This window comes from Homo sapiens, chromosome 16, assembly GCF_000001405.40.
Source record: "Homo sapiens chromosome 16, GRCh38.p14 Primary Assembly".
NCBI classification, from domain to species: domain Eukaryota; kingdom Metazoa; phylum Chordata; class Mammalia; order Primates; family Hominidae; genus Homo; species Homo sapiens.
The window spans coordinates 9,179,084-9,206,603 of NC_000016.10; the positions used below are offsets into that span (position 1 = coordinate 9,179,084).

Here is a 27,520-nt window from a genome sequence, read left to right on the forward strand (position 1 = left end):
GATGGGATGATGATAATCACAGGACCTGTCTCACAAGGCTGTTGTGAAGCTGAAGGAAGCTAATATGTGCCTGGCATACAGCAAACCCCATGTAAACCTCTGCTTCTGTTACTAAGCTTTGGAAAAAGATACTCAGCTTCAATCCCAGATCCAAAATTTATTAGCTGAATGGCTGTATCAGTCTGTTCTCTCTCCCTCTGTCCCTCTCTCTCTTTTTTTTTTTTTTTCAGACAGAGTCTTGCTGTGTCGCCCAGGCTGGAGTGCAGTGGCACGATCTTAGCTCACTGTAACCTCTGTCTCCTGGGTTCAAGCGATTCTCCTGCCTCAGCCTCCGGAGTAGCTGGGATTACAGGTGTGTGCTGCCACACTTCGCTAATTGTATCAGTCTGTTCTCACATTGCTATAAAGAATGCCTGGGGCTGGATAATTTATAAATAAAGGAGGTTTAATTGGCTCTCGGTTCTGCAGGCTCTACAGCAAGCATAGGGGCTTTTGTTCCTGGGGAGGCCTCAGGAAGCTTCCAATCATAGTGGAAGGCAAAGAGGGGAGCAGGCGTCTTGCACGGTGGGAGCGGAGGCGTCTCGCACGGTGGGAGCAGGGGCGTCTCCCATGGTGGGACCGGGGGCGTCTCGCATGGTGGGAGTGAGAGCAGAAGGGAGTGAGTGGGAAGAAGCTGCGCACTTTTTTTTTTTTTTTTGAGACGGGGTCTCGCTCTGTTGCCCAGGCTGTAGTGCGGTGGCATGATCTTGGCTCACTGTAACCTCTGCCTCCCAGGTTCAAGCCATTCTCCTGCCTCAGCCTCCTGAGTAGCTGGGATTACAGGCACACGTCACCATGCCTGGCTAATTTTTGTATTTTTAGTAGAGATAGGGTTTTGCCTGTTGGCCAGGCTGGTCTTGAACTCTTGGTCCAGGTGATCCACCTGCCTTGGCCTCCCAAAGTGCTAGGATTACAGGCGTGAGCCACTGTGCCCGGCCAGCTGCACACTTTTAAGCAGCCCGATCACATGAAAACTCACTCACTATCCAGAGGACAGCATCAAAGCGATGGTGCTAAATCGTTCCTAAGAAACCACCCCCATGATCCAATCACCTCCCACCAGGCCCCACCTCCAACACTGGGGACTACAACTGAACACGAGATTTGGTTGGGGACACAGATCCAAACCCTATCAATGACCTAGGGCAAGTTTCTCTTCTTTTTATTTTGGAGACGGAGTCTCGCTCTGTCGCCCAGGCTGGAGTGCAGTGGCACGATCTCGGCTCACTGCAACCTCTGGCTCTCAGGTTCAAGCAATTCTCCTGCCTCAGCTTCCCAAGTAGCTGGGATTACAGGTGCCTGCCACCACGCCAGGCTAATTTTTGTATTTTTAGTACAGACGAGGTTTCAGCATGTTGGCCAGGCTGGTCTCAAACTCCTGACCTCAGGTGATCTGCCAGCCTCAGCCTCCCAAAATGTGGGGATTACAGGTGTGAGCCACTGCACCCCATGACAAGTCTGTTTTCTGAAAAAAGGAAACAGTCAAATGATCTCATAGGATTGCAGTCATAATGAAAACAGGAATAACATAATCAAGAGCACATTGGGGGCGCTTGAGAAATATTCCTCCTTCCCAGACACAAGGGTGCGCTGAGTCCTCCAAATGTGCTCGAGGGTGCATGCTTTGAACTAGAGATGCCTTTTTCCAGAAGAAATCACTCTGGTGAACTGGTGGTGGTCCATGATAGCCCATTACATTGCATTTTTAAGGCTGAGAACATTTTCATTAGGAAATATTTCAAACCTTCAGAAAAGTACAAGAAATAATATGACACCCGTGTATGTACCCTAGAGAGTTAATAGATGTTAGCATTTTGTCACGCTTGCTTCAGATCTCTCTTTTACAGAAGGAAGAAAGTGTTACAGATACACTGAGGCGAAACTGTTAATTAAGAATGTAGCTGAACTCTGGTTCCGATGAGGAATTCTGGGCCAGGCCTTTGTGGGTACTAGGGATGTGAGTGAGTTCTCTGGCTTCTGTGAGCTCATCCTCCAGCCGGGAAGGCAGACTCATGAACGGACGATTGTCCTACAATGGGACAAGTGCTGCACTGGTGAAATATACAAGAGCAATGGTGGTGGTGGGGAGTGTGAGAGGTCAGAGAGGGCTTCCTGGAGGAGGTGACATCTAAGATGTACCTTGAAAAAGTGAGTAGATGGTGGGTGTGGTGGCTTTTGCCTGTAATCGCAGTACTTTGGGAGCCCGAGGCAGGTAGATTGCTTGAGCCCAGGAGTTTGAGACCAGCCTGGGAAACATAGCGAAACCAAGTCTATAATAAAAATACAAAAATTAGCCAGGTGTGGTGGCACATGCCTGTAGCCTCAGATACTTGGGAGGCTAAGGTGGGAGGATTGCACTCCAGCCAGGGCAACAGTGAGGCCCTGTATTTAAAAAAAAAAAAAAAAAAAAAAAGGAAAAGAAAATAAAAAGTGAATGGAATTTTGTTGGGCAGACAAAGGGAGAGGTGGGCTTTCTGGGGGAAGGGGCATCATATGTAAAGGCGGGGAAGCTGGAAAAGGTGTGTGAACTGGGATTATGATACACAGGGTAGTGCAGCTTTTTTTCTTCCTTTGAGACAGGGTCTTGTTCTGTTGTCCAGGTTGGAGTACTGTGGCACGATCTCAGCTCACTGCAGCCTAGACCTCCTGGGTTCAAACAATCTTCCCACCTCAGCCTCCCCAGTAACTGGGACCATAGACACGCACCACCATGGCCAACTAATTTTTGTATTTTTTTTTTTGTAGAGATGGGTTTTGGCATTTTGCTGAGGCTGGTCTCAAACTCCTGGCCTCAAGTGATCCGCCCTCCTTGGTCTCCCAAAGTGCTGGGATTATAGGCGTGAGCCACTGTGACTGGTCTGGGTGGTGCAACTTCTGTCTTTTTGAACTGTGAGATGTATCTGTTTCCTATGACTGCCGTAACAAATTATCACACACCAAGTAGCTTAAAATAACAGGAATTTATTCTCTCACAGTTCTGGAGGCTGGAAGTCTGAAAGCAAGGTGTGGGCAGGACCATCCTCTTTCTGAAGACTTAGGAGAGCATCGTGCTTTGCTTTTTCCTGGCTCTTGGTGGCTGCCAGCAGTCCTGGAGTTTCTTTGCTCGTAGATGCGTCACTGCAACCTTTGCATCTGTCATCACTGGCCTCTTCCCTCGGTGTCTCTGTCTCTTCTCCTATTTAGTTATTTGAGACAGAGTCTTCCTCTGGTGCCCAGGCTGGAGTGCAGTGGCATGATCTTGGCTCAATGCAACCTCTGCCTCCCAAGAAGCTGGCACTACAGGTGCATGCCACCATGCCTGGATAATTTTTTGTATTTTTAGTAGAGACAGGCTTTTGCCATGTTGGTCAGGCTGGTCTTGAACTCCTCACCTCAGGTGATCCACCTGCCCTGGCCTCCCAAAGTACTGGAATTACAAGCATGAGCCACCACGCCTGGTCTTACCCTCTTCTTGTAAGGACATCAGTCATAATGGATTAAGGACCCACACTACTTTGGTATGAGCCCATCTTAATGTAACTAATTATAGCTGCAAAGACCCTATTTCCAGATAAGGTCACATTCTGAGGTGCTGCAGATAGGACTTCAATGTATCTCTTTTGGGTGACACAATTAAACCCGTAACAGACGCTTTGCATGTAGCTAGACAGAGATCACTCCTGCCCCACATACTTCATGGAAGACCTGGCCTCTTCATTTCGGGGTTCCTTTCTTGGAAGCAAGCTCTAGAAAGAGGTTGAGCTTTGGAACAGTTTCAGGGAGGCCCAGCTAGTTTTTATTAACCTCCTCAGTGAGCCCCAACATTGGGTTCATCCTGCAATAGGATGGGAAGGGGAGATGATGGAGACTGTGACAGAAATACCAGAAAAAGAGGATACCCCAGAGGGCTGCATCAACATCAGAGGAAGAGGTGATGTGGCTCCCTCTGGATGAAGCTGGCTGTGAATCTCCTTACAGGGAGGATTCTTTGCGCCCCCAGCAAGAAGAGAAGGAGAGGGAGATGCGACCACCATGGAAAGGTGATTCTGGTTTTGGCTGAGTCCAGAGGGCCAGAACTGCCTTCTCTCCCAAGCGCCATCAGCACCAGGAAGCCAGAGGGAGTCGGGCAGGAATGCTGGGGTGGAGGCATTTGCTTTATGCGGTAGATGGTGAAATGGGGTAAGTACAATTTTCCATCAGAGAAGAGAGGAGCAAGGAAAGAACTTCACATTCACTCACGGCCCTTAACCTTTACAAGGACTCTATTGTGTCCGGAAGTGGTGGGTTCTTGATCTCATTGACTTCCAAGAACGAAGCCGCGGACCCTCACAGTGAGTGTTACAGTTCTTAAAAGCGGCGTATCTGGAGTTGGTTCTTTCTGATGTTTGGATGTGTTCGGAGCTTCTTCCTTTTGGTGGCTTCATGGTCTTACTGGCTCTGGAGTGAAGCTGCACACCTTTGCGTGAGTGTTACAGCTCTTAAGGTGGCAGGTCTGGAGTTGTTTGTTCTTCCCGGTGGGTTCGTGGTCTATGCTTGCTTCAGAAGTGAAACTGCAGACCTTCATGGTGAGTGTTACAGGTCACAAACACAGTGTGGACCCACAGAGCAAAAAAATAAAGCTTCTATACCAGGGAAACGGACCCAGACCGCTTACCGCTGTTGATTCCGGCAGCCCGCTTTTATTCTCTTCTCTGGCACCGCCCCCCCCCCCCCAATCCTGCTGATTGGTCCATTTTACAGAGAGCCGATTGGTCTTTTTTACAGAGAGCTGATTGGTCCGTTTTGACAGGGAGCTGATTGGTGCGTTTACAGTCCGTGAGCTAGACACGAAAGTTCTAAACCTCTCCACCAGAGTAGTTACATACAGAGTGTCCATTGGTGCATTCACAAACCCTGAGCTAGACACAGGGTGCTGATTGGTATGTTTACAAACCTTTAGCTAGATACAGAGTGCTGATTGGTGTATTTACAATCCCTTAGCGAGACATAAAGGTTCTCCAAGTTCCTCACTAGACTCAGGAGCCTGGCTGGCTTCACTGGGTGGATACCGCACGTGGGCCACAGGTGGAGCTGCCTACCAGTCCCGCACAGCGCGCCCGCACTCCTCAGCCCTTGGGCGGTGGATGGGACTGGGCACCGTGGAGTAGGGAGCGCCGCTCGTCAGGGAAGGTGGGGCCACGCAGGAACCCACGGCGGCAGGCCGGGAGGAGGCTCAGGCATGGCGGGCTGCAGGTCCCAAGCCCTGCTCTGCGGGGAGGCAGCTGCGGCCCGGCGAGAAATCAAGCACAGCAGCTGCTGGCCCAGGTGCTAAGCCCCTCACTGCTCGGAGCTTGTGGGCCGGCCGTCCGCTCAGAGTGCGGGGCGCACCGAGCCCACGCCCACCTGGAACTTGCGCTGGCCCGCAAGCGTCGCGCGCAGCCCTGGTTCCCGCCCGCGCCTCTCCCTCAACACCTCCCCGCAAGCTGAGGGAGCCGGCTGCGGCCTTGGCCGGCCCAGAAAGGGGCTCCCACAGTGCAGCGGCGGGCTGAAGACCTCCTCAAGCGCGGCCAGAGTGGGAGCCAAGGCCGAGGAGGCGCCGAGAGCGAGCGAGGGCTGTGAGGGTTGCCAGCAGGCTGTCACCTTTCACTATGAGGTAAGTGTTAAGGGAATGTTGTCATAGCTGTAGCATTTTTCTTTTAGAGAAAGATATTTTAATTATGGAATTAACAGCACAGTACCTTTGAGGTGATGTTAACATTTTATTTTATTTTTTAAATTATAGATTCAGAAGGTACATGTGCAGGTTTGTTACATGGATATATTGCGTCATGGTGAGGTTTGGGCATCTAATGGACCCATCACCATAGTGAACGTTGTACCCCAGAGGTGATTTTTCGACCCTCACCCCTTCCCAACTTTTCCCCTTTTGGAATCCCCAGTGTCTGTTATTACCATCTTTTATGTCCATGTGTACCCATTTGTTTAGCTCCCACGTATAAGTGACAGCGTGTAGTATTTGATTTTCTGTTTCTGAGTTATTTCACTTAGGATAATGGCCTCCAGCTCCATTCATGTTCATGCAAAGGACTTGATTTCACTCATTTTTATGGCTGCATAGTATTCCATGATATTTGAACATATGTATGTATAAATACCACATATATACACATAAATGTGTATTTTTACGTGTATATACACCACATACACACATGCGCACACACACAGCCCACATTTTCTTTATTTAATCCTGTCTTCATAACTACTTTGGTTGATTCCATGACTTTGCTATTGTGAATTGTGCTGTGATAAAACATATATGTGCAGGTGTCTTTTTGATGTAAGCGTTTCTTTTCCTTTGGGTAGATCACACCCAGTAGTGTGATTGCTGCGTCAAATGGTGTTCTATTTTTAGTTCTTGGAGATATCTCCACCCTGTTCTCTATAGAAGCTGAACTAATTTACATTCCCACCAACAGTGTGTAAGCATTTCCTTTGTCTAGCTTTAATCAACTATGATGGATGGGGCCTAGCAGGGCATGGTCTCTGGCCTTGGACCTGAAACATGTTTCTGAACCTGGAGGGTATAATTGTTCCTTTTGACTTATGGCTCCTGAGAACTCCCATCCCAGTGTCCCAGGAGCTCAGAACCAGGTGAAGGAAGAGGTGGTGGTTGGAGGCACTGCAGGGTGTCAAGTGGGCCAGTGCAAGACAGAGAAATGGGCAAAGGCCAGAGGCAGGAACCAAAGGAGATGCATAGATGCCAGGGTTTTAAAAGAATCACACTTTCAGGAAGGAAACCATTAATCACAGCCAAAATGGCAAATAAAACTGACAGTGAGTGAAAAATATGCATTTTAACAAATGAAAATGGCACCAAGGTTTGGCATAAGCACCAAAACTGTGCACTGATTCAGGGGGGTGAGTAAGCAGACTACTGCAGGAGGCTCACCATGGGCTGGTTAGGATAAAAATGCTCATAGTCTTCTTTTTAATTTTTTCTTGCCTATATTATTGAGTAATACAAGTGTGAGTTGTTTCATAATGTATATAGCTGTCTTGACACACATTTGATGGCTTGATCACATTGTCAACAATTAGAGTGCTTTTCCTCCTCTTTGGGAAGGCGTGGTGGTGTCATTTCCATGTAGCATTACTGCTACATGGACAGTAAGAAAGGTAAGTTAGTTAATAAGTTACTCAGCTGTTAGACGGTGGTTCTGGGATTTTAACCCACTCAAACAGTGCCTCATGGAGCTCAAGGACTTTTCCCAGGATATCGCTCTGCATGCTTTGGGTATGTATGTACATTTGCATGTATACATGTATGTATGTATGTATGGAGGTATATGCATATTATATGAGTTTTGCTTCTGCTGTGTTCTAAATTTCACCGTTCTAGTGATAGGCACGGGGAGACGTTTGTTGTCCTCATAAGTTTTTTTGTTATTGTTATTTTTGAGGCAGGGTCTGGCTCTGCTGCCCAGGCTGGAGTGAATTGCCACAATCACAGCTCACTTCAACCTCTGCCTCCTGGGCTCAAGACATCCTCCCACATCAGCCTCCCACGTAGTTGGGACTATAGGCACACACCACCACACCTGGATAATTTTTGCAATTTTTTGTAGAGATGGGGTTTTGCCATGTTGCCCAGGCCGGCCTTGAACTCCTGAGCTCAAGTGATCCGCCCACCATGGCCTCCCAAAGTATGGGGATTACAGGTGCGAGCCACCACACCTGGCTGTCCTCCTAAGTTTTAAGAGCATACACTTTTGTTTTGGTTTTGCATTGATTTTTTTTTTTTAAGAAATTCCCTCTGTGAATCTTGCCAAGCCAACCTGAGCCAAGGAAGCTAATGGATTATTGGATGTGTTTGTGAGTCAGTCCAGTTAATCCCATATTTCCTGGGCATCTGCTGGGTGCCACATGATTAAGCTGTGGCTGATGCCTTTGTGCCATTTTTAGGTGGCTGGTTGATGAATAGTCCAGGTGTCAGAAGGACTTAATTCATAAAAATGGGCTCAGGATATGGCCTGAAAAGAAATAAGTGTCAAGGGTAGGCAGATGGTTTCTGGAGCATTTATGGGTCTGAGACAGTGCACATAAAACAGTTGAATTTTGGGAGTTTGAATCAAGCTTCTGGAACTGCTAAAACCTGCGAATCATCTGGGAAACGCCAAGCAGCTGATGACAAGGCACTGCTGTGTCCCCTCATTTGTATAGTGCTTTGCAATTGACAGAGACATTGATTTTGCACATTTCTCCCTGGAGCCCTGAAGCATCTCTGTGATATAAGCAGTTACATGTTTTATGTTCCACTCAAGGGATGAGAAAACAAAGGCCTGGAGAGGCATTGTAGTTGACTGTTAGAACTTCTTTTATGAAGAGGGAAAAGTCGAGAAAATTGAAGTGTAATGTTCAAATCGGGGCAATTGAGCCATCCAGAGCCTCAAACATATTGCATACATGCATCAAAATATCACATGTGGCCGGGCGAGGTGGCTCACGCCTGTAATCCCAGCACTTTGGGAGGCTGAGGCAGGCACATCGCTTGAGCCCAGGAGTTGGAAACCAGTCTGGCCAACATGGTGAAACCCCGTCTCTACTGAAAATACAAAAATTAGCCAGGTGTGGTGGCACACATCTGTAATTCCAGCTACTTGGGAGGCTGAGGCAGGAGAATCACTTGAACCCGGGAGGCAGAGGCTGCAGTGAGCCCAGATGAGACTGTATCTCAAAACAAAACAAAACCAAATACATGTTCCTCCCAAATACGTACAATTATTATATATCAATAATGATTTTAAAAATAAAGAAAAGGGAAGTGGTTTTTTGGGGCATTTCTACCAGAGCCAGGAGTGGAGTCCAGGGTTCTGCTTCTGTGGCCATAGTTCCCTTACATGCCTTAATTATGGGCCTGTGGCTCCTCCTTCCTTCATCCTGGTAGGAGGTGTTGGCAGTGATTTTTCAGGCTGGGCTCATTGGGGGGAATCTCTCCTTTGTCACAGATTCAGAGTATCCCAGGGCTCCCACAGCAGGCTGAGGTGGGAGGATCATTTCTCTGCAGTAGCATCACATCTTAAAAACCTCAGGAGTTCGAGACCAGCCTGGCCAACATAGTGAAACCCAGTCTGTACTGAAAATACAAAAATTAGCCGGGCATAGTGGCACACATCTGTAGTCCCAGCTACTCGGGAGGCTGAGGCAGGAGAATCGCTTGAACCCGGGAGGTGGAGGTTGCAGTGAGCCGAGATTGCGCCACTGCACTCCAGCCTGGGCAACGAGTGGAACTCCATCTGAAAACAACAACAACAAAAAACCAAAACCAAACAAACAAGGAAACAAAACACCTCTTTTCTACTGGTCAGGGCCCCCTGTCCATCTCCATTTTTTTCTTCCATACTTCCCTACACCTACTATTGCCACCTTTCATTAGGAGTAGGGCCTGGGGAAAACACTTTGTATCTATTTCATGCCTTCCCAAAGAGCAAGGGGCTGTTACTTCTATTTTGCAAGTGAAGAGACGGAGGCTTGTATACAAGAAGATGCTTATGCAAAGTCACTTAATGAGAACCCGATTCTTTCTAAGTCCAAAGCCACTTTCTTCCTTTTATACTTTTACTTTTGCCAGAGACCAAAAGATATTCCCCTGAGACCTAGAAGCAAGAAGCACCATCTTTTTTGGCTTATGAACAATTAATTCTTCTTTTGAGAGTGTGTGTACTCTTTCTGCATCTTCTTTTAAAAAAGCAGCTGTATTTAATGTATATAATTTGATGCATTTGGACATATGCACACACTCATGAACCACCTCTTTTTCTTCTTGCAATCGCTTTTTCTATGACATCCAACAAAACAACTCTCTTTGCTGGGTACAGCCTGGGTAACTGCCAGGTCTCTGATTTAAAAGCATAATATGCTCGCCAAATGCACCACAACAATAGTAATGATCAGAAAGAATATTAAAGCCCTGGAATTCTTTGCTGCATCTCACTTTTTTTTCCAGGGCTAGAGCGAAGGCTGAAAATACTGCAGTATTAACTCTGTCAGTCTGGCAGTCAGCAGAGTGCTGAAAATCCGAATGGGGGCTTTCTTGGCTGGGTGCTTAGGGGCAAGCTTCAGAGAATTTGTCTGTCCTGCTATGGTTCCTTGAGAACTTTTTCATTCCACCAAGGTTTGGCTGAGCAGCAGGGAAAGGGCGGTGAGACCAGTATGTGGAGTGAGAGCTGTGTTAGGACCATCAGCACACTTACATCGATTTTTGCTCTATGCCTGTGAGTTGGGTAGTAATGAGAAGAATGGTTTACATTTATGGATCTCTTACTGTGTGCCAGGCTCTGTGCTGAGCACTTTATTTTATTTTAATTAATTAATTAATTTTACTTTAAGTTCCGGGATACATGTGCAGAACGTGCAGGTTTGTTGCATAGGTAAACGTGTGCCATGGTGATTTGCTGCACCTATCAACCTGTTACCTAGGTATGAGGGCCCAGCATGCATTAGCTGTTGGTCCTGATGGTCTGCCTCCCCTCCCCTGCACAGGCCCCAGTGTGTGTTGTTTCTCTCCCTGTGTCCATGTGTTCTCATTGTTCAGCTCACACTTGTGAGAACATGCAGTGTGTGGTTTTCTGTTCCTGTGTTAGTTTGCTGAGATTGATGGCTTCCATCTTCATCCATGTCTCTGTGAAGGACTTGATCTCATTCCTTTTTATGGTTGCATAGTATTCCATGGTGTATATGTACCACATTTTCCTTTTTTTTTTTTTTTTTTTGAGATGGAGTTTCGCTCTTGTTGCCCAGGCTGGAGTGCAATGGTCCGATCTCGGCTCACTGCAACCTCCGCCTCCTGGGTTCAAGTGATTCTCCTGCCTCAGCCTCCTGAGTAGCTGGGATTACAGGCATGTGCCACCACGTCTAGCTAATTTTCTACTTTTAGTAGAGACAGGGTTTCTCCATGGTGGTCAGGCTGGTCTCGAACTCCTGACGTCAGAAGATCTGCCTGCCTTGGCCTCCCAAAGTGCTGGGATTACAGGCATGAGCCACTGTGCCCGGCCAAATCTGTTTTTTGTTTGTTTGTTTGTTTGAGTTGGAGTTTCACTCTTGTTGCCCAGGCTGGAGTGCAGTGGTGCAATCTCGGCTCACTGCAACCTGCGCCTTCCGGTTTCAAGCAATTCTCCTGCCTCAGCCTCCTGAGTAGCTGGGATTACAGGCTCCTGCCACCACTCCCGGCTAATTTTTGTATTTGTAGTAGGGATGGGGTTTTGCCATGTTGGCCAGGCTGGTCTCAAACTCCTGACCTCGTGATTCACCCATCTTGGCCTTCCAAAGTGCTAGGATTACAGGCATGAGCCACTGTTCCTGGCCTACATTTTCTTTATTCAGTCTATCATTGATGGGCGTTTGGGTTGGTTCCATGTCTTTGCTATTGTGGATAGTGCTGCAATAAACATACTTGTGCATGTATCTTTATAATAGAATTAATTATATTCCTTTGGGTATGTACCCAGTAATGGGATTGCTGGGTCAAATGGTGTTTCTGGTTTTAGATCCTTAAGGATTTGCCATACTGTCTTCCACAGTGGTTGAACTAATTTACATTCCCACCAACAGTGTAAAAGCATTCCTATTTCTCCACAGCTTGGCCAGGCTGGTCTCAAATTTCTGATCTCTGGTGATCCTTCTGCCTCGGCCTCCCAAAGTGCTGAGATTACAGGCATGCACCACCACACCCGGCAAGGTTGTGGTTCTTAACCAGGTGTGATTTTACTCCTCAGGAGTTTTGGTTGTCCTAATGGGGAGGGTGGAGTGCTACTGGCATCTAGTGGGTAGAGGCCTGAAAGGATGTTGCTAAACATTCCACAACGTACAGGACAGTGATCCAGCCCAAAATGTCAATAATGCCAAGGTTGAAAAATCCTACCTTAAAGTCACATACTTAGAGCCAAGTCAGAACTTGAGTTCTGGACTTTAGACTTTAGACTCCTTGCACAGTGCTCAGAGTAACTTCAAGTGAAGTAACATTTCTCCAAGTGAAGGTGATCTGTTTTTACCCTCAGTTTGTGCCAACACAGGTCATTCACTGGCTCTCCATCCAAAGATGATCCCTGTGCCTCTCCTAGGTAAATTATCTCTCCATTCCCTGTGCTCCTAACTTCTTGGGGGTGGTTGCAATGCTCATGACCCTGCCTTTGTTCTCTGTTTATCCCAGGGCCTTCCCCACTGAACAGTGAATTCTTGAAGAGAGAGATCAGGATGATGATGATGATGGTGGTGATGATATGGTGATGATGGTAATGATGATGATGGTGATGATATGGTGATGATAGTGATGATGATGATGACAATGGTGGTAATGATGATGGTGATGATATGGTGATGATGGTGACAATAATTATGATGATGGTGATGATTATGGTAATGGTGATAATGCTGCTGATGATATGATAATGGTGGTGATGATGGTGGTGATATGATGATAGTGATGATGAGAATGATAATGGTATGGTGATGATAGTGATATTGTTGATGATGTTGATGATGACATGGTGATGGTGGCAATAATGATGGTGATGGTGATGATATCTGATGATGGTGATGATAGTGACAATTATGGTGTTGGTGATATGGTGATGATGGTGATAATGAGGGTGATCATGATATGGCAGTGATGGTGACTATATGGTCATGGTTGTGATGATGATGATGATGGTGATGGTAATAATGATATGAAGATGGTAGGTATAATGGTGATGGAGATGTTTATGGTGGTAATGATGGGGATGATGATAAAGCTGCTGCTGCTGATGGTAGTGATGATGATGACAGTGATAATGGTGATGATGATAATGATATAGTGTTGATAATTATGGTGATGATAATGAAGATGATGATGATAGCAATGATATGGTGATTCTTCCTGGATTTTAGCGAGGGGAGTTCTTGGAGTGAGGAGCTGGGATGCAGAGGGCTCTATCAAGAGAAAGCATAGCCCTCTCAGCTGCGGCTCATGAGCTTCCCCATATGTAATCTGTGCCTTCCCTGCTGTGTTTTTCCTTGCTCGTCTTCAGACCAGTCAGTCATCCCTTGTGACATTAATAATAACTTCTAATCCAGTGGCACTTGATGGTAAAGGTGCCTGCCCCTTGCACAGCCCAGAGGTTATCGACTGGAAAGCGGCATTGCGAGTCTGGTTTAATTTTCCGCTGCATTAATATTAATAGGAAACAGTTGGCTCTGGGTGCAGATGTGGAGAAGATGCACAGGAACAAAGGCTGCCTGCAGTTCAGAAGGGTGGTGGGGGGCAGGGATCTTGGAGGGAACTCGACTTCTTCGCTCTGGGCCTCAGTTTCCCTCTCTATAAAATGAAGGGTTGGAATCAGTGATTCAGAAGATACTCCCCCTTCCTGTACCTGTTCTGCTCTGACATTTTATATCAGCCTGGATCCCCACCATCCAATGCATGGGTCCCTAAGGGTGAACAGTCTTCAGAATGTAGCTTGGTTTCCTCTAGTGGCAGGGAGCTCACTACCTTCTAGGACAGCCATTTCCACTGTTGCGCAGCTGTGAGCTTTGCCGTTATTGATGACAGTAATAGTAGCAGTACCACTTGTGGGATGCTGAGTGTTTCCTATGTGTTATCGCCTCCTGGCCTCACAGTGATACTTCGTGGGAGGTGTGGTTGGTCTCATTATACAAAGGATGAAGACGAAGCCTAGAAATGTCAAGAAACTTACCCACAATTGCCCAAGGAGGAAAGGCAGAGCAGGACCTTAACTCCAACTGGTTTGACTTGAAAACCCTGGTGTTTATTAACTGCAGGACAAAGGCACTCATGTGGGTAGCAGATGGAGGTAAGGTTAGTCCCAGCATTCTTGGAGGATGGCATCATCCTTAGTGGGTCGCAGAAGAAAGGCTGAGAAGGCAGGGCGTTGACGTGACACAACTAAGTCAGTCTGAGCACCTACTGTATGTCAGGTGCTGTGTGGTGATATTTCATTTAATTTCTCCAACAACCTCATGAGGCAGGTACTGTTATTTATGGCATTGTCTTAGTTTCCTGTGGGCTGTGATGACAAATCATTACAAACTTAGTGGCCTAAAACAAAACATATTTTTTTCCTTTCTTCCTTTCTTCTTTCCTTTTCTCTCTCTTTCTTTCTTTCTTTCTTTCTTTCTTTCTTTCTTTCTTTCTGTCTCTTTCTTTCTTTCTTTCTTTCTTTCTTTCTTTCTTTCTTTCTTTCTTTCTTTCTTTCTTTCTTTGTTTTGAGAGAGGGTCTCGCTCTGTGACACAGGCTGGAGTGCAGTGGCATCATCACTGCTCACTGCAGCCTTGAACTAACTCCCAGCCTCAAGCGATCCTCCCATCCTAGCCTCCTGAGTAGGCAGGACTACAGGGCACACCACCACACCCAGCTAATTTTAAACATTTTTTTTTTTGTAGAGATAGGATCTCATCATGTTGCCCAGGCTGGTCTTGAACTCCTGGGCTCAAACCATCCTCCTACCTCAGCCTCCCAAAGTGCTGGGATTACAGATATCAGCCACTGTGCTGGGCTAATTTATTTTCTTATCGTTCTGGAGGTCAAGAGTCTGAAGTGGTCTTAATGGGCTAAAATCAAGATTTCAGCAGGGCTGCGTTCCCTCTGGAGGCTCTAGAGGAGAATCTGTTTCCTTGCCTTTTCCAGCTTCTAGAGGTCACCTGCGTTCCTTGGTTTATGGCCCCTTCCTCCCTCTCCAAAGCCAGCAGTATTGCATTTTCAGATCTTTCTCTAAGTCTGACCTCCCTTCCTCCATCTGCATGTTTCCTTTTCTTACCCTCTCACCTCTCTCTTTCTCTTATAAGGCCTCTTGTGATTTGATTGGGTCACCTGGCTAATCCAGGATAATGTCTCTATCTTAAGATCCATAACTTAATCACATCTGCAAACTCTCATTTGGTGTGTAAACTGACATATACACAGGTTCTGGGGATTAGGATATGGACCCCTGATATAGTTTGGCTCTGTGTCCCCACCCAAATCTCATCTCGAATTGTAATCCACATGTGTTGGAGGAGGGGCCTGGTGGGAGGTGATTGGATCATACGAGTGGACTTCCCCCTTGCTGTTCTCATGATAGTGAGTGAGTTCTCACGAGATCCAATGGGTTAAAAGTGTGTGGCATTTCCCAATTTGCTCACTGTCTCTCTCTCCTGCTGGGATGTGAAAAAGGTGCTTGCTTCCCCTTCACCTTCCACCATGATTGTAAGTTTCCTGAGGCCTCCCAGTCATGCCTTCTGTTAAGCCTGTGGAACTATGAGTCAATTAAAGCTCTTTTCTTCATAAATTACCCAGTCTCAGTTAGTTCTTTTATAGTAGTGTGAGACTGGACTAATACAACACCTTTGTGGGGAGGAATGATTCTGCCTGCCACAACCATTTTACAGGTGAGGAAATCCAGGCTCAGAGAGGGTGAGTGACTTGCTCAGAGTAGTACAGCCTATAGGCAGTGGGGATTTGAGCTAAGCAGTCTCATACCTACTAACTATGTCACCTTACCAGCACCTGGCATCTTGCCACTGGTGCTGGAAAAGCTATGCTCAGAGAGTGACACCCTCTTTTAACCTGCCCACTGGGTGGAAATAAGAAGGATATTTCTGAATGGATACTCTCCAACTTGGGTGTACCGGTGTGACTCCAGGACCATTCATTCCCTTCATTCAGAAAATATTTACTGAGGTGCTTACTATGCCTCACAGATAGAAATACTGGTGAGCAAATAGACAAAAACCTCTCCCCCTGTGGAGCTCACATTCTAGAACGGGCGCACCAGATCATAAGCCAAATAAATCAGCAGATTATCTGGGAAGGTGGGAAGTGGTAGATCTGACCAGGTGTAGTGGCTCACGCCCGTAATCCCAGCACTTTGGGAGGCCGTGGCAGGTGAATCACTTGAGGCCAGGAGTTTGAGACCAGCCCGGACAACATGGTGAAACCCCGTCTCTACTGAAAATACAAAAATTAGCTGGGCATGTTGGTGCATACCTATAATCTCAGCTACTGGGGAGGCTGAGATAGGAGAATCTCTTGAACCTGGGAGGCAGAGGCTGCAGTGGGCTGAGGTTGCACCACCTCACTCCAGGCTCGATGACACAGTGAGACCCTGTTAAAAAAAAGCGATGGGTCTTGGGGTGAGGGCCTGGGGAATGGGTTGAGCCCTCCTGATTGATGGGCTCTGTTAGGGGCTGAGGAGGGGACCGTATCTTTGGATGTCTGCCTGCTGCCCGGCAGGGACCCAGGGCCATTGCCCCATCTCAGCTTTCCTGCGCCTGATGGCTCTAGAGGCAGCAGGCTCCCCTCTGATGGGGCCCAAGACTAATGCTTCCATTTATTTTTGTGAGCGTTGGAAACTGCCATGGCTTATAACTGTCAGCAGCTGCCACTGAAGAAAGCCACGCTTTGCTGAGGTTGCTCTTTCTGGGAAAGGGAGAATGATGACATTTCTAATAGCTGCCTCCCCTTTCACAGAGGCAAATGCTGTGTACCCAGAAGCTACCTCCAAGAGCCGGTACTTAATTACTTTTGACTTTGCAAATGACAGGAGGGAGAGAGGTAAGAAGTGGACATACTTTCTTGGTTGAAGATGCGTTGAGTCTGACCTAATACAGGAATGTCTTGCCTTTTGTAAGACGACCTTAGGTAAAGGTTTGGGCTATGGGAGAAAAAGAGATGTGAGTTTGAATGCTGGTTCCACCATGGGTGCTGGGTCACTTCCTTAACCTCTGTGAGCCTCAGGCTTCTCGTCTGTAGTGTGGGAATGAGACCACCCAGCTCTTAGGGTGTGGGGAGGACTTAGTAAGACCCCATGTGTGAAATGGCCTGTGATGGGCCAGGTGCCAGGGAATACAGTGGTGAGACAAAGCCCTGCATCAAATAGCTTATGCCCTAACATGGGAGACAGGCAAAAACAAGCAAACAGGCCAGGCGCAGTGGCCCATGCCTGTAATCCCAGCAGTTTGGGAGGCTGAGGTGGGCAGATCACTTGAGCTCAGGAGTTTGAGACCAGCCTAGACAACTTGGTGAAACGCTGTCTCTAGTAAAAAAAATTACAAAAATTAATGAGGGGTGATGGTGCATGCCTGTAATCCCAGCTACTTGGGAGGCTGAGGTGGGAGAAGCACTTGAACCTGGCAGGTGAATGTTGCAGTGAGCCGAGATTGTGCCACTGCATTCCAGCCTAGGCGACAGAGGGAGACCCTGTCTTGAAAAACAAGCAAAAACACAAAACAAAACAAAACAAAACCCAAACAAACAAATACAGAAGAATAAGCTGTGATAAATGATGTTTTTTTTTTTTGAGACAGGGTCTTGCTCTGTTGCCCAGGCTAGAGTGCAGTGGCGTGATCATCTCATTGTGGCCTCAAACTCTTGGCTTCAAGAGCTCCGCAAGCCTCAGCCTCCTGAGTACCTGAGACCACAGCATGCACCACCACATCCAGCTAATTTTTTTTTTTTTTTGTAGAAATGGAGTCTCCCAATGTTGGCCAGGCTGGCCTCAAACTCCTGGGCTCAAGTGATCCTCCCTCCTTGGCCTCCTGAAGTGTTGAGATTACAGATGCGTGCCACCACACCTGGCCTAAATTATTTTTTGTAGAGATGGCGTCTTGCTATGTTGTCCAGGCTGGTCTTGAACTCCTGATCCCAAGTGATCCTCCCACCTTGGCTTTCCAAAGTGCTGAGATTATAGGCATGAGCCACTATATCTGACCATAAGTGCTTTTAGGACATACCATGCGTTGTGTTAGGATCTACAGGGGTGGGAACCTACCTTTGCGAATGTGGTCAGGGAGATCTCTCTCATGAGAGAAGATTTAAGGGGAAACACGCAGGTTGAGAAGTAGTCAGTCACGGGATTATTGTAGGGAAGGGCAGGGATGGGGAGACAGCATGAGCAAAGGCCCCAGGGCTGGAAAGAGATGAGCTTGTTCTAGGGATGGATAAAAGCAGTGAGTGAGGGAGAACAGGATGTAAGACAAGGCGGGAGAAGAAGGCAGTGAACACTCATGCAGTGCCTTGTTGCTCACTGTAAAAATTTCAGATTTTTTTTTTTTTTTTTGAGATGGAGTCTGGCTCTACAATGGCACAGTCTCGGCTCACTGCAGCCTCTGCCTCCCTGGTGCAAGTGATTCTCCTGCCTCAGCCTCCTAAGTAGCTGGGATTATAGGCGCCCGACACCACGCCTGGCTAATTTTTGTATTTTTATTAGAGACAGGGTTTCACCCTGTTGGCCAGGCTGGTCTCAAACTCCTGACCTCAAGTCATCCACCCACCTTGGCCTCCCGAAGTGCTGGGATTATAGGCGTGAGCCACTGCGCCCGGCCAAGATTTTAGGTTTTTATCCCAAGTACAGTGGGACATTCCCCCAGGAGCAAGAAGGCCAGAGTACAGTGAGCAGGTCAGGGCTTGTGGGCCATGGCAAAAAATTTAGTTTTTGTCTAAGTGCAAGAAAAAGCCCCTTAGAGAGTTTAATTTAATTTATTATTATTATGTTTTAAATTTCCATAGATTTTAGGGGAACAGGTGGTGTTTGGTTACATGAGTAAGTTCTTTAGTGGTGATCTGTGAGACTTTGGTGCACTCATCACCCAAGCAGTATATACTGCACCCATTTTATAGTCTTTTATCCCTCACCTGCTTCCCATCCTTTCCCCTGAGTCCCCAAAGTTGATTATGTCATTCTTATATCTTTACATCCTCATGGCTTAGCTCCCACTTATGAGTGAGAACATATGATGTTTGGTTTTCCTTTCCTGAGTTACTTCACTTAGAATAATAGTCTCACTTGGAGAGTTTTAAGCAGAGGAGTATTGTTGCCTGTTTTAGGATTTTTTTTTTTTTTTTTTTAATGACACAGGGTCTCTCTCTGTCACCCATGCTGGAGTACAGTGGCGTGACTATAGCTCACTGCAGCCTCGAACTCCTGGGCTCAAGTAATCTTCCTGCCTCAGCCTCTCAACTAGCTGGGACAATAGGTGCCCGCCACTATGCTCAGTTAATTAACAAAAAATTTATAGAGATAGGGTCTCACTATGTTGTCCAGGCTGGCCTCTAATTCCTGGCCTCAAGTGACTCTCCTGCCTCAGCCTCCCAAAGTGCTAAAATTTCAGACATGAGCCACCATGCCTGGGTAAGTTTAAATTTTTTTTTTTTTTGTAGGGATGAGGGTCTTGCTATCTTATCCAGGCTAGTCTTGAACTCCATGGCTCAAGCCATCCTCCCTCCTTGGTCTCCCAAAGTGCTGGGATGACAGGCATGAGCCACAGTGCCTGGACTGTTTTAGGAATGAAAAGGTCAGTCTGGCTGCTGGGTGGGAATGCAGCACTGCCATTAGGAGCAAACGGCACATGCCCTGGGGACCTGGGAAGTTGTAGCCAGAGACAGGAGGAGGGGAATTTGATCTTCACGCAGGAGTGGCAGGTCCACGATGTACCACCCTCGTAATCCACAGTTCGTTCCTTTCTTCCTTCCTTCCTTCCCTCCTTCCTTCCTTCCTTCCTTCCTTCCTTCCTTCCTTCCTTCCTTCCTTTTTTTTTTTTGAGATGGGGTCTTGCTCTGTCACCCAGGCTGGAGTGCAGTGGCACAATCTTGGCTTACTACAACCTCCACCTCCCCGGTTCAAGTGATTCTCCTGCCTCAGCCTCCCAAGTAGCTGGGATTACAGGTGCCTACTACCACGCCCAGCTAATTTTTGTATTTTTAGTAGAGACTGGGTTTCACTGTGTTGGCCAGGCTGGTCTCGAACTCCTGACCTCAGGTGATCCACCTGCCTCGGCCTCCCAAAGTGCTGGGATTACAGGTGTGAGCTACCGTGCCCGGCCGGGATCCACAGTTTCTTGGGACAGCAAACCCTTGCCACCCAGAGGAAGTGGAAAGCTGGGGCTAAAACCGCTTGCCCCCCGACCACCTCCCTGGCCTTGCTCCACCAACCCCAGAGCACCTGAAGACACCTCCAGCAGACCACGAGGCCTCTTCTGCCAGGAGCACATCTGCCTGCTGGAACTCTCCTCACAATTCTATTTTTGCTCCCCTTGGCAGCTCTGTGGAAATTAAAAGGCTATTGGCAGTGACTAATGTTGCTAATTCTGATCAAACAATTTAAAATTCATCCTTTGCCATATCAGAGACCCGCTAGGGAACAGAATTAAGACATCATTTGTGGCAATTTCTGTGACAGTTGGTGGAAAACAGAAAAGACATTAAAATTGGTCTCAATTCAAACCACTGCTCATTAAATTGCCTCCTTGAAAATCCGCCATCTCGATCTATACACTAGCTCTCCGTCTGTTCCCAGCTTATTAACCCAGAGCAAGGACCTTGACAAGCCAGCAGCTGGATCCAAGATGCTGGGAACTTCCTGGGATGTCTGGGAGAGCACATCCTGACACCCTCTGCTCCCTCCCACCGGCGCCGCCTTTGAGCCTTCCTGCCTCTGCCCCAGGAGCGGATGTGCCTCACATTTCCAAGAGTTAAACTTCAGGAAGCCAAATATTAAAAAAAGAATCAAGCTTCCCAGTGTTACCCAAACTTGAGTCATTCGCTTACCACCTGTGTGATTTCTGCTGTATCTATATCCATGTTCTGTTTTTTTACTTGATATAAAGCCAACTCATTTTAAAATTAAATTAATAGACTATTTTAAACAGGAAACTTTGTCACTACTATAAATGGAAACCCAATGTCATAAAGAGGAAATAAATGCTAACGCTAAGCATAAAAATCAATACAGTGTTTTTAAAAAAGCGTTGGATGGTTTACATCCCTTAGGTTTTTTTCTACATAAGTCCTTCCTTCCTTCCTTCCTTCCTTCCTTCCTTCCTTCCTTCCTTCCTTCCCTCCCTCCCTCCTTCCTTCATTTTCCTTCCTTCTCTCCTTCCTTCCCTCCCTCCCTTTCCCTTCCCTTCCCCTTCCCCTTCTCCTTCCTTCCTTCCTCCTTCTTCCTTCTTTTCCTCTTTCTTTCCTTTCTTCCAATTGTAAAATATATGTAAAAATGGGCAAACATTCTGGGCATGATGGCTCATACTTTTAATCCCAGCACTTTGGAGGCCGAGGCGGGTGGATCATGAGGTCAGGTATTTGGGACCAGCCTGGCCAACATAGTGAAACCCTGTCTCTACTAAAAAAATACAAAAAATTAGCTGGTTGTGGTGGCGGGCACCTGTAATCCCAGCTACTAGGGAGGCTGAGGCAGGAGAATAGTTTGAACCTGGGAAGCGGAGGTTGCAGTGAGCTGAGATCGCACCACTGCATTCCAGCCTGGGAGAGAGTGTGAGACTCCGTCTCAAAAAAAAAAGGCAAACAACTAGAATGGAATTAAAGACAGATTTGCAAACCTTTCAACCATTATATAAATATTAAAAAGTTAAAAAATGAATTGCCAATTGAAAAATAAAAGCTTACATGTAAAAACAGCAAAGTGAAGACAGTGACAAAGGAGACAATGGTATTCCATTCCACTTGGGTACATTTGCTGGGGAAGACTCTTAGCCAGAGGCAAGGGCTCTGTAAGTTAAAAAGGATTAGGAAGGGTTCCAGTTCTTAAAGACAAACTCATCCAGGGAGACTTTCTCTTTGCATTAATTGGGAGGGTTGAAAACCAATAGACAGAGAGTGACCGTTTGACTGTGTGATGAGATGTTTTGCAATGCTGTGTTCAACTCGAATAATTTTATATGCCACGAGCACATTTTCTACACTTTGGAAAATACTGGTGTGATCTGGGAAGACAAACTCTTAGGAATCTTCTCCCTTCCCAACACCCCCTCCCTGTTTTACTGGAGTAAAACAAATCCCTGGAGTAAAATCCCTGTTTCCTCCAGGGATTTGACAATTATCTTAAAGCTGTATCAGTTTGAATGATCCACTATCTGCAGGTAGACCTTCCCCTCTTATTTGAATTCCTCTGCCTATTTAGGAAGTTCTCCCTAGGAATACTATGACTTTCTTTCCTTTCCTTTAAACACAATTTTAAAAAAATGTACAAATAGCCTGGGTGCCGTGGCTCCCACCTGTAATCTCAGCACTTCGGGAGGCTGAGGAGGGTGGATCACCTGAGGTCAGGACTTTGAGACCAGCCTGGCCAACATGGTAAAACCTCGTCTCTATTAAAAATACAAAAATTAGTCACATGTGGTGGCAGGTGCCTGTAATCCTAGCTACTCGGTGGGCCAAGGCAGGAGAATCGCCTGAACCTGGGAGGTGGGGGTTGTAGTAAGCTGAGATCGCGCCAGTGCACTCCAACCTGGGTGACAGAGTGAGACTTCATCTCAAAACATAATAAATAAAAAATGGAGAAATAATAATTGTAGATATTTTGGAGGAACAGTGTGATGTTTTGATATATGTATACATTGTGGAATGATTAAGTCAAGCTAATAGACATAGCCGTCTCTTCACATACTTAAACTTTTGTGCAACAGATGTCAAAAGCTCATTCCTCCTGTCTAACTGGAATTTTATACACTTCTGACTTTCGTGGCCATGGTAGGGCCTGAATCTGTCTCTAGGGCATAAAAGTGAGACAACCTGGGATCTTCAGAAGTGTCATGTCTGAGTTTCCTGAAATGAAGGAAAAGGTGTACAGCTGCTGTCTGCCATGAATGGCATCAAGGAGACCTAAGGATTAATCCAATAATGAGAGAAGGGGAGAGAGAGAGAGAGAGAGAGAAAGATGGGGTGGAGCTGAGAGAGACAGAGAGATTGGGGTGGAGGATGACATTACATTTCTATGTTCTGTGACTCCCTTCAGCATCCATCTTGTTTGCTAGATGGTAGGTGTGGGATGGTTTATCACTCCTTTGAAAATGTTTCTTCCACTCATGGGCGATTTCTGCTGAAGTATAGAGAGCAGACTCCAATTCTGCCATTTATTTATTTATTTATTTATTTTTGAGACAGAGTCTTGCTCTGTTGCCCAGGCTGTAGTGCAGTGGCACCATCTCAGCTCACTGCACCGTCTGCCTCCTGAGTTCAAGCAATTCTCCTGCCTCAGCCTCCTGAGTAGCTGGGATTATAGGCGCCTGCCACCACGCCTGGCTAATTTTTGTATTTTTAGTAGAAAGGGGTTTTACTGTGTTAGGCTGGTCTCGAACTCCTGACCTGATGATCCACTCACTTCAGCCTCCCAAAGTGCTGGGATTACAGGTGTGAGCCACTGTGCTCAGCCACTTATTATTGTTAAAGCAAACTACATATGGCCTGAGAAGGACTTCATACTTCTACGTTTGAGTCCTTGTGCACCACCTGTAACCTAGCTTAATAGACAAGATTGAAAAGCTCATTTAGGAGTATGTGCCTGTAACAATAGCTGAGTCTTGGCCAATCCCAGTGGCCGAACTTCAACCACTCATAGACTGTTAAATGCTCAAACTGTGTTTAAATAAGGCAAATGCCAACCTGTAACCAATCCAGCTGTTTCTGTACCTCACTGTTGATTTCTGTACGTCATTTCCCTTTTTCATTTTTTTTTTGTCTATAAATCTTCCACCACGTGGCCGCGCTGGAGTCTCTGAGAATCTGTTCCAGTTCTGGGGGCTGCCCGGTTCGCAGATCATTCATTGCTGAATTAAACTCCTTTACATTTAATTTGGCTGAAGTTTTACTTTTATCATTATTAATGTGCCTTTGTGGGGAGCTGCTTCACTCCTGTGAACCTCAGTTTTCTCTCCTGTAAAATGGGCTTTTGTGGAAGCCCCCATGCTGGATCAGGCCTCCTGCGTTTTGCGTGTGTGGCTTCCTCTGTCTGGAATGTCCTTTCTGCCCCTTGCTATTCCCAGGTAATTTCCATTGGCCCACCAAATATCAGGACTCAGGTATGATGTCAAGGTCTTCTGCAGCCCTTGTTGACCTTCCCTGTCCCACTGCAGTGGCTGCCCCTCCTCTGTGCTCCTGGCACCCTGTGAATCTGCATTGAGGTTGCTTGTGCCTCTGTGTTCTTCATTATGCACTGAGCTCTGTCAGAGCTGGGCCTGTCTCTAATTCATCCTTGTTTCCTTAAATTCCAGCGAGGAACTAGTAGATGGGGAATGTGGCTTGGGACAGGACCGTGGGGAGCCATTATTCCTTCTCCTGTCTCCTCCTTGGACTTGCTTCTGGAGGGCTACCTTCCAAACATCCTCCTGAAGAATTCCTTCTTTTCTGACCCACAGTGAAGTTCACCAAAGATGAAGCATTACAACATGCATTCACTTTGTCTCTGTTTCCCTGGAACTGTCTCACAGTTCCACTCTTGTGCCATCAGCATTTTCTCTGAGCCCAGTGAGGGACACTTATGATAAAGACAGGAGACAGGGAAATACTGGTTAGAAGAGGGTGGTTCCCTGGGAAAGGCCCCACCCTCAAGCCTGTAAACCCGTGGTCATAAATGAGAATAGGTATTCCTGTTTTTGTGCCCAAAAGTTGCCTTTTGGCCCACCATGCCCCCCATCCTATACCCATATATAACCCAGGCTCCACGAGGAGACAAACAGAAGAGCAGAATTGTAGAATGGCACAGCAGAGAGAAGAGAAGGAGTCTGAACACTGACAGTTCAGCTGGGGATGGTCAGAGAGGAGATCAGCTACTGGACGGCCAAACTCCAGGGGGCAATCATCTTCCCTCTCCATCCCCTTTCCAGCTCCTCATTCATCCCACTGAGAGTCACCTCCACCACTCAATAAAACCCCCGTATTCATCCTTCAAGACCTCATTTTTCCTGGATGCCAGACAAGAGCTCGGGATACAGAAAGCTGTTACATTGGCCTTCTACCCTTGGAAAAAGGCAGAGGGTCCACTGAGCTGGTTAACAATTAAGTCATCTGTGGGCAGCAAGCTAAAAGAGTGCACTGTAACACATGCCCTCTTGGGCTTCGGGAGTCGCAGACACTGACCCCTGGACGCTGCCATGGGGCAGTAGCCCAGGGGTGTTTGCCCTGGCTCCTGCACCTGCCCATCTGTCTGCTCCCCTTCCCGTAAGGGGTTTGAGCATGCATGGCGGCCGAACAGACAAGCCACACCCCTGTTGCACGTCCTATGACGGAAGTCAGGGAACTTTCCCATTTCACTTATAGGGAAGTCTCATTTAGCAATATGTCTATGGTGCAACTCAGAGAGGGGAAGAAAAACCATTTGGGATGATTGCGTTTAGGCTGTTGGTTTATGTAGGAAGCATGGAAGGCACCGTAGATTCTGCTGGTGCCCTGCCTGGCTCCCCTTCATCAGCTGGCAAATCCATCTTCAAGGTGCTGTGCATGTTGGCTGCTAAGAGCTCACCGCTGTCCAGGGAATTGTCTCCAGGGAACTGCCCTTTCCTGACAGGAGCCACCTCACCTTGGGAAGTCATACTCCTTCATATGCAGGGAGAGCACTCAGCCAATGACTAACACCCTAGTTATAAAGGTTGGACCTCTGAGTCAAACTGGGGAGGTCCCTGTCATTGTTTTTGTTTGTTTTTTTTTAGAGACAGGATCTTGCTCTATTGCCCAGGCTGCAGTGCAATGGTGTGCATCATAGCTCACTGCAGCCTCCAGCTCCTGGGCTCAAGTGATTCTCCTGCCTCAGACTCCTGAGTAGCTAGGACTATAGGTGAGCAATTTCTTTTTTTCTCTATTTTTTCTTTTTTTTGTAGAGATAGGGAGGGTTTCACTATGTTGCCTAGGCTGATCTCAAACTCCTAGCCTTAAGCAATCCTTCTACCATGGTTTCCCAAATTGCTGGGATTACAGACATGAGACATGGTGCTCAGCCGGTGTCATTTGATTAGTGCTGCAGAACCCCTACCAGGATCAGGCCGGGTGAACTTGACCTGAAGCCATATTCTTGCTCACTTCTTCCACGATCCCTTCCTGCTTCCCTCGCACTTCTCTTGAGAACCCTTCCTCAACAGATCACACTCTCCAATTCCCATCTCAGACTCTGCCTCTAGGGAATGTAACCTAAGGCTCAGGGTCAACATTCACTGGGGATACCCAACTGGCCTTGCAGAAATGGAAGATGGAAGATTGCTTAATGGCGTTATATGAGTTATGGAAGGGATGTCTGACCTGCTTTCTCTTTAACCATCGTGAGGAAGGAAGACGATGAGGCTCTCATGCTTCTGTCTTAGGGCTTTTTGGGTTTGTAGCTTGGTCTGACATCTTGGTTGTGTGTCTCTGGGCAAGGACAATTTTTGTCCCTCAGTTTCCCTGTCTATAAATGGAGATAATAATCATGCTTTATTTATAGGACTGTTAAGAGGATTAACTGAGATAATTAATATCAAGAACTTAGAAGGATATATGGTACTTGGTGAGTACTATATTACATTGCTGTTATTATTACTGATATTATTACTATTAGTATCATTGTCATGTTAAAATGCAGCTACAGAATGCAAATTGCTGTCTTTATGAAGAACAGTTTTCTGGCTTGAATCAAGAGCCTTCAGTATGTCTCTATCCTTTCATCCAGTAGTTTCCAAACTTGGAAGTGAGCCTTAGGGAATAATCTGAAATGCAGAAAAGGTTTTATTCATCCGTGTCTCATCATAGCATTATTTACAATGGGAAAAAAAGGAAATCATTCCACTGTCCAACAATAGGGCAAAGTTGAATTAGCATGTGTACCACAGCACTCACTCCCTTCACAGCAGTTCAATGTCCCTCAAGGATCCAAAACAATGAAGATGCTAAGTTGACAAATGCACTGCGGGAAGAAAGAGATAGAGATGGTTAAGTCAGTTTCCCAACATCTGTTGAGCACCTGCTGTGTGACTAGGCATTGTGCTACGTGATGGGGGTCCCTTTTCTCAAGTCATCTCCATCCCATGAAGGAGACAGACAGGTGCATAGCTGATTAGAGTGCAGACCAATATAGGCTGTGACAAGGATAAGAACAAGCTGGTTATGGAAGCTGAGAGGCAGAACACAGCTTTATTTGAAGGAGCAGAGAAGAATTCCCAGGGAGCCTACCATCCTAGTAGCTTTGTGTCTTTGGGGTGTCAAGATCAGCTAAAAAGACAGACGCATTACAACCAGCAGAATTTTAGAAAACTTAATTCATTTTTTTTGGATACCAGTCCTTGCAATACTCGGTTCTACATGCCCTGATCCCATGTGTGTGTGCGTTTGTGTGTGTGTGTGTGTGTGTTGGTGAACTTAGGTGCAGATTTTGTAAGAGCCACTATCATCATAATGTCTACAATTGCCTCTCAAATTTTACCCTTGCCATCACTATGGCAACCCACAAAACAAAAAAGGCAGAAGGAAAGGCTTTTGATCTTATCTTGCCTGGGGCTTTGCCATAGCCTTTGATATTCCCTGAGACATCCGGAAGTTCACCATTGTGCATCCAATATTCTGGGTCACCTGGATGTTGCTTCTTTCTGGCATTGGCTCCTCTCAGAGGGTGTGGGAAATAATGAGAAATTCTAAAACAATTAGTTGGAGGTTATGAAAAGCCATGTGCAAATTGTGGCAGATTGTATTTTCCATAGATGATTACAGTAAGGTCTCCTGTCGCACATGCGGTGCTATGG

The 27,520-nt window shown here is 46.6% G+C and overlaps 2 annotated features.

Annotated features, from left to right (window-relative positions):
- Nucleotides 5,437-5,619: a silencer, noted in NCBI's record as "fragment chr16:9278377-9278559 (GRCh37/hg19 assembly coordinates)". NCBI's record gives its function as "represses an EF-1alpha promoter that drives an FKBP-Casp9 reporter gene in an ReSE screen in HepG2 liver carcinoma cells {active_cell/tissue: HepG2}" and the evidence as "EXISTENCE:reporter gene assay evidence [ECO:0000049][PMID:32094911]".
- Nucleotides 26,403-26,931: an enhancer, noted in NCBI's record as "NANOG hESC enhancer chr16:9299343-9299871 (GRCh37/hg19 assembly coordinates)". NCBI's record gives its function as "activates a minimal SCP1, AML or CMV promoter by ChIP-STARR-seq in naive H9 embryonic stem cells {active_cell/tissue: H9 hESC(naive)}" and the evidence as "EXISTENCE:reporter gene assay evidence [ECO:0000049][PMID:30033119]".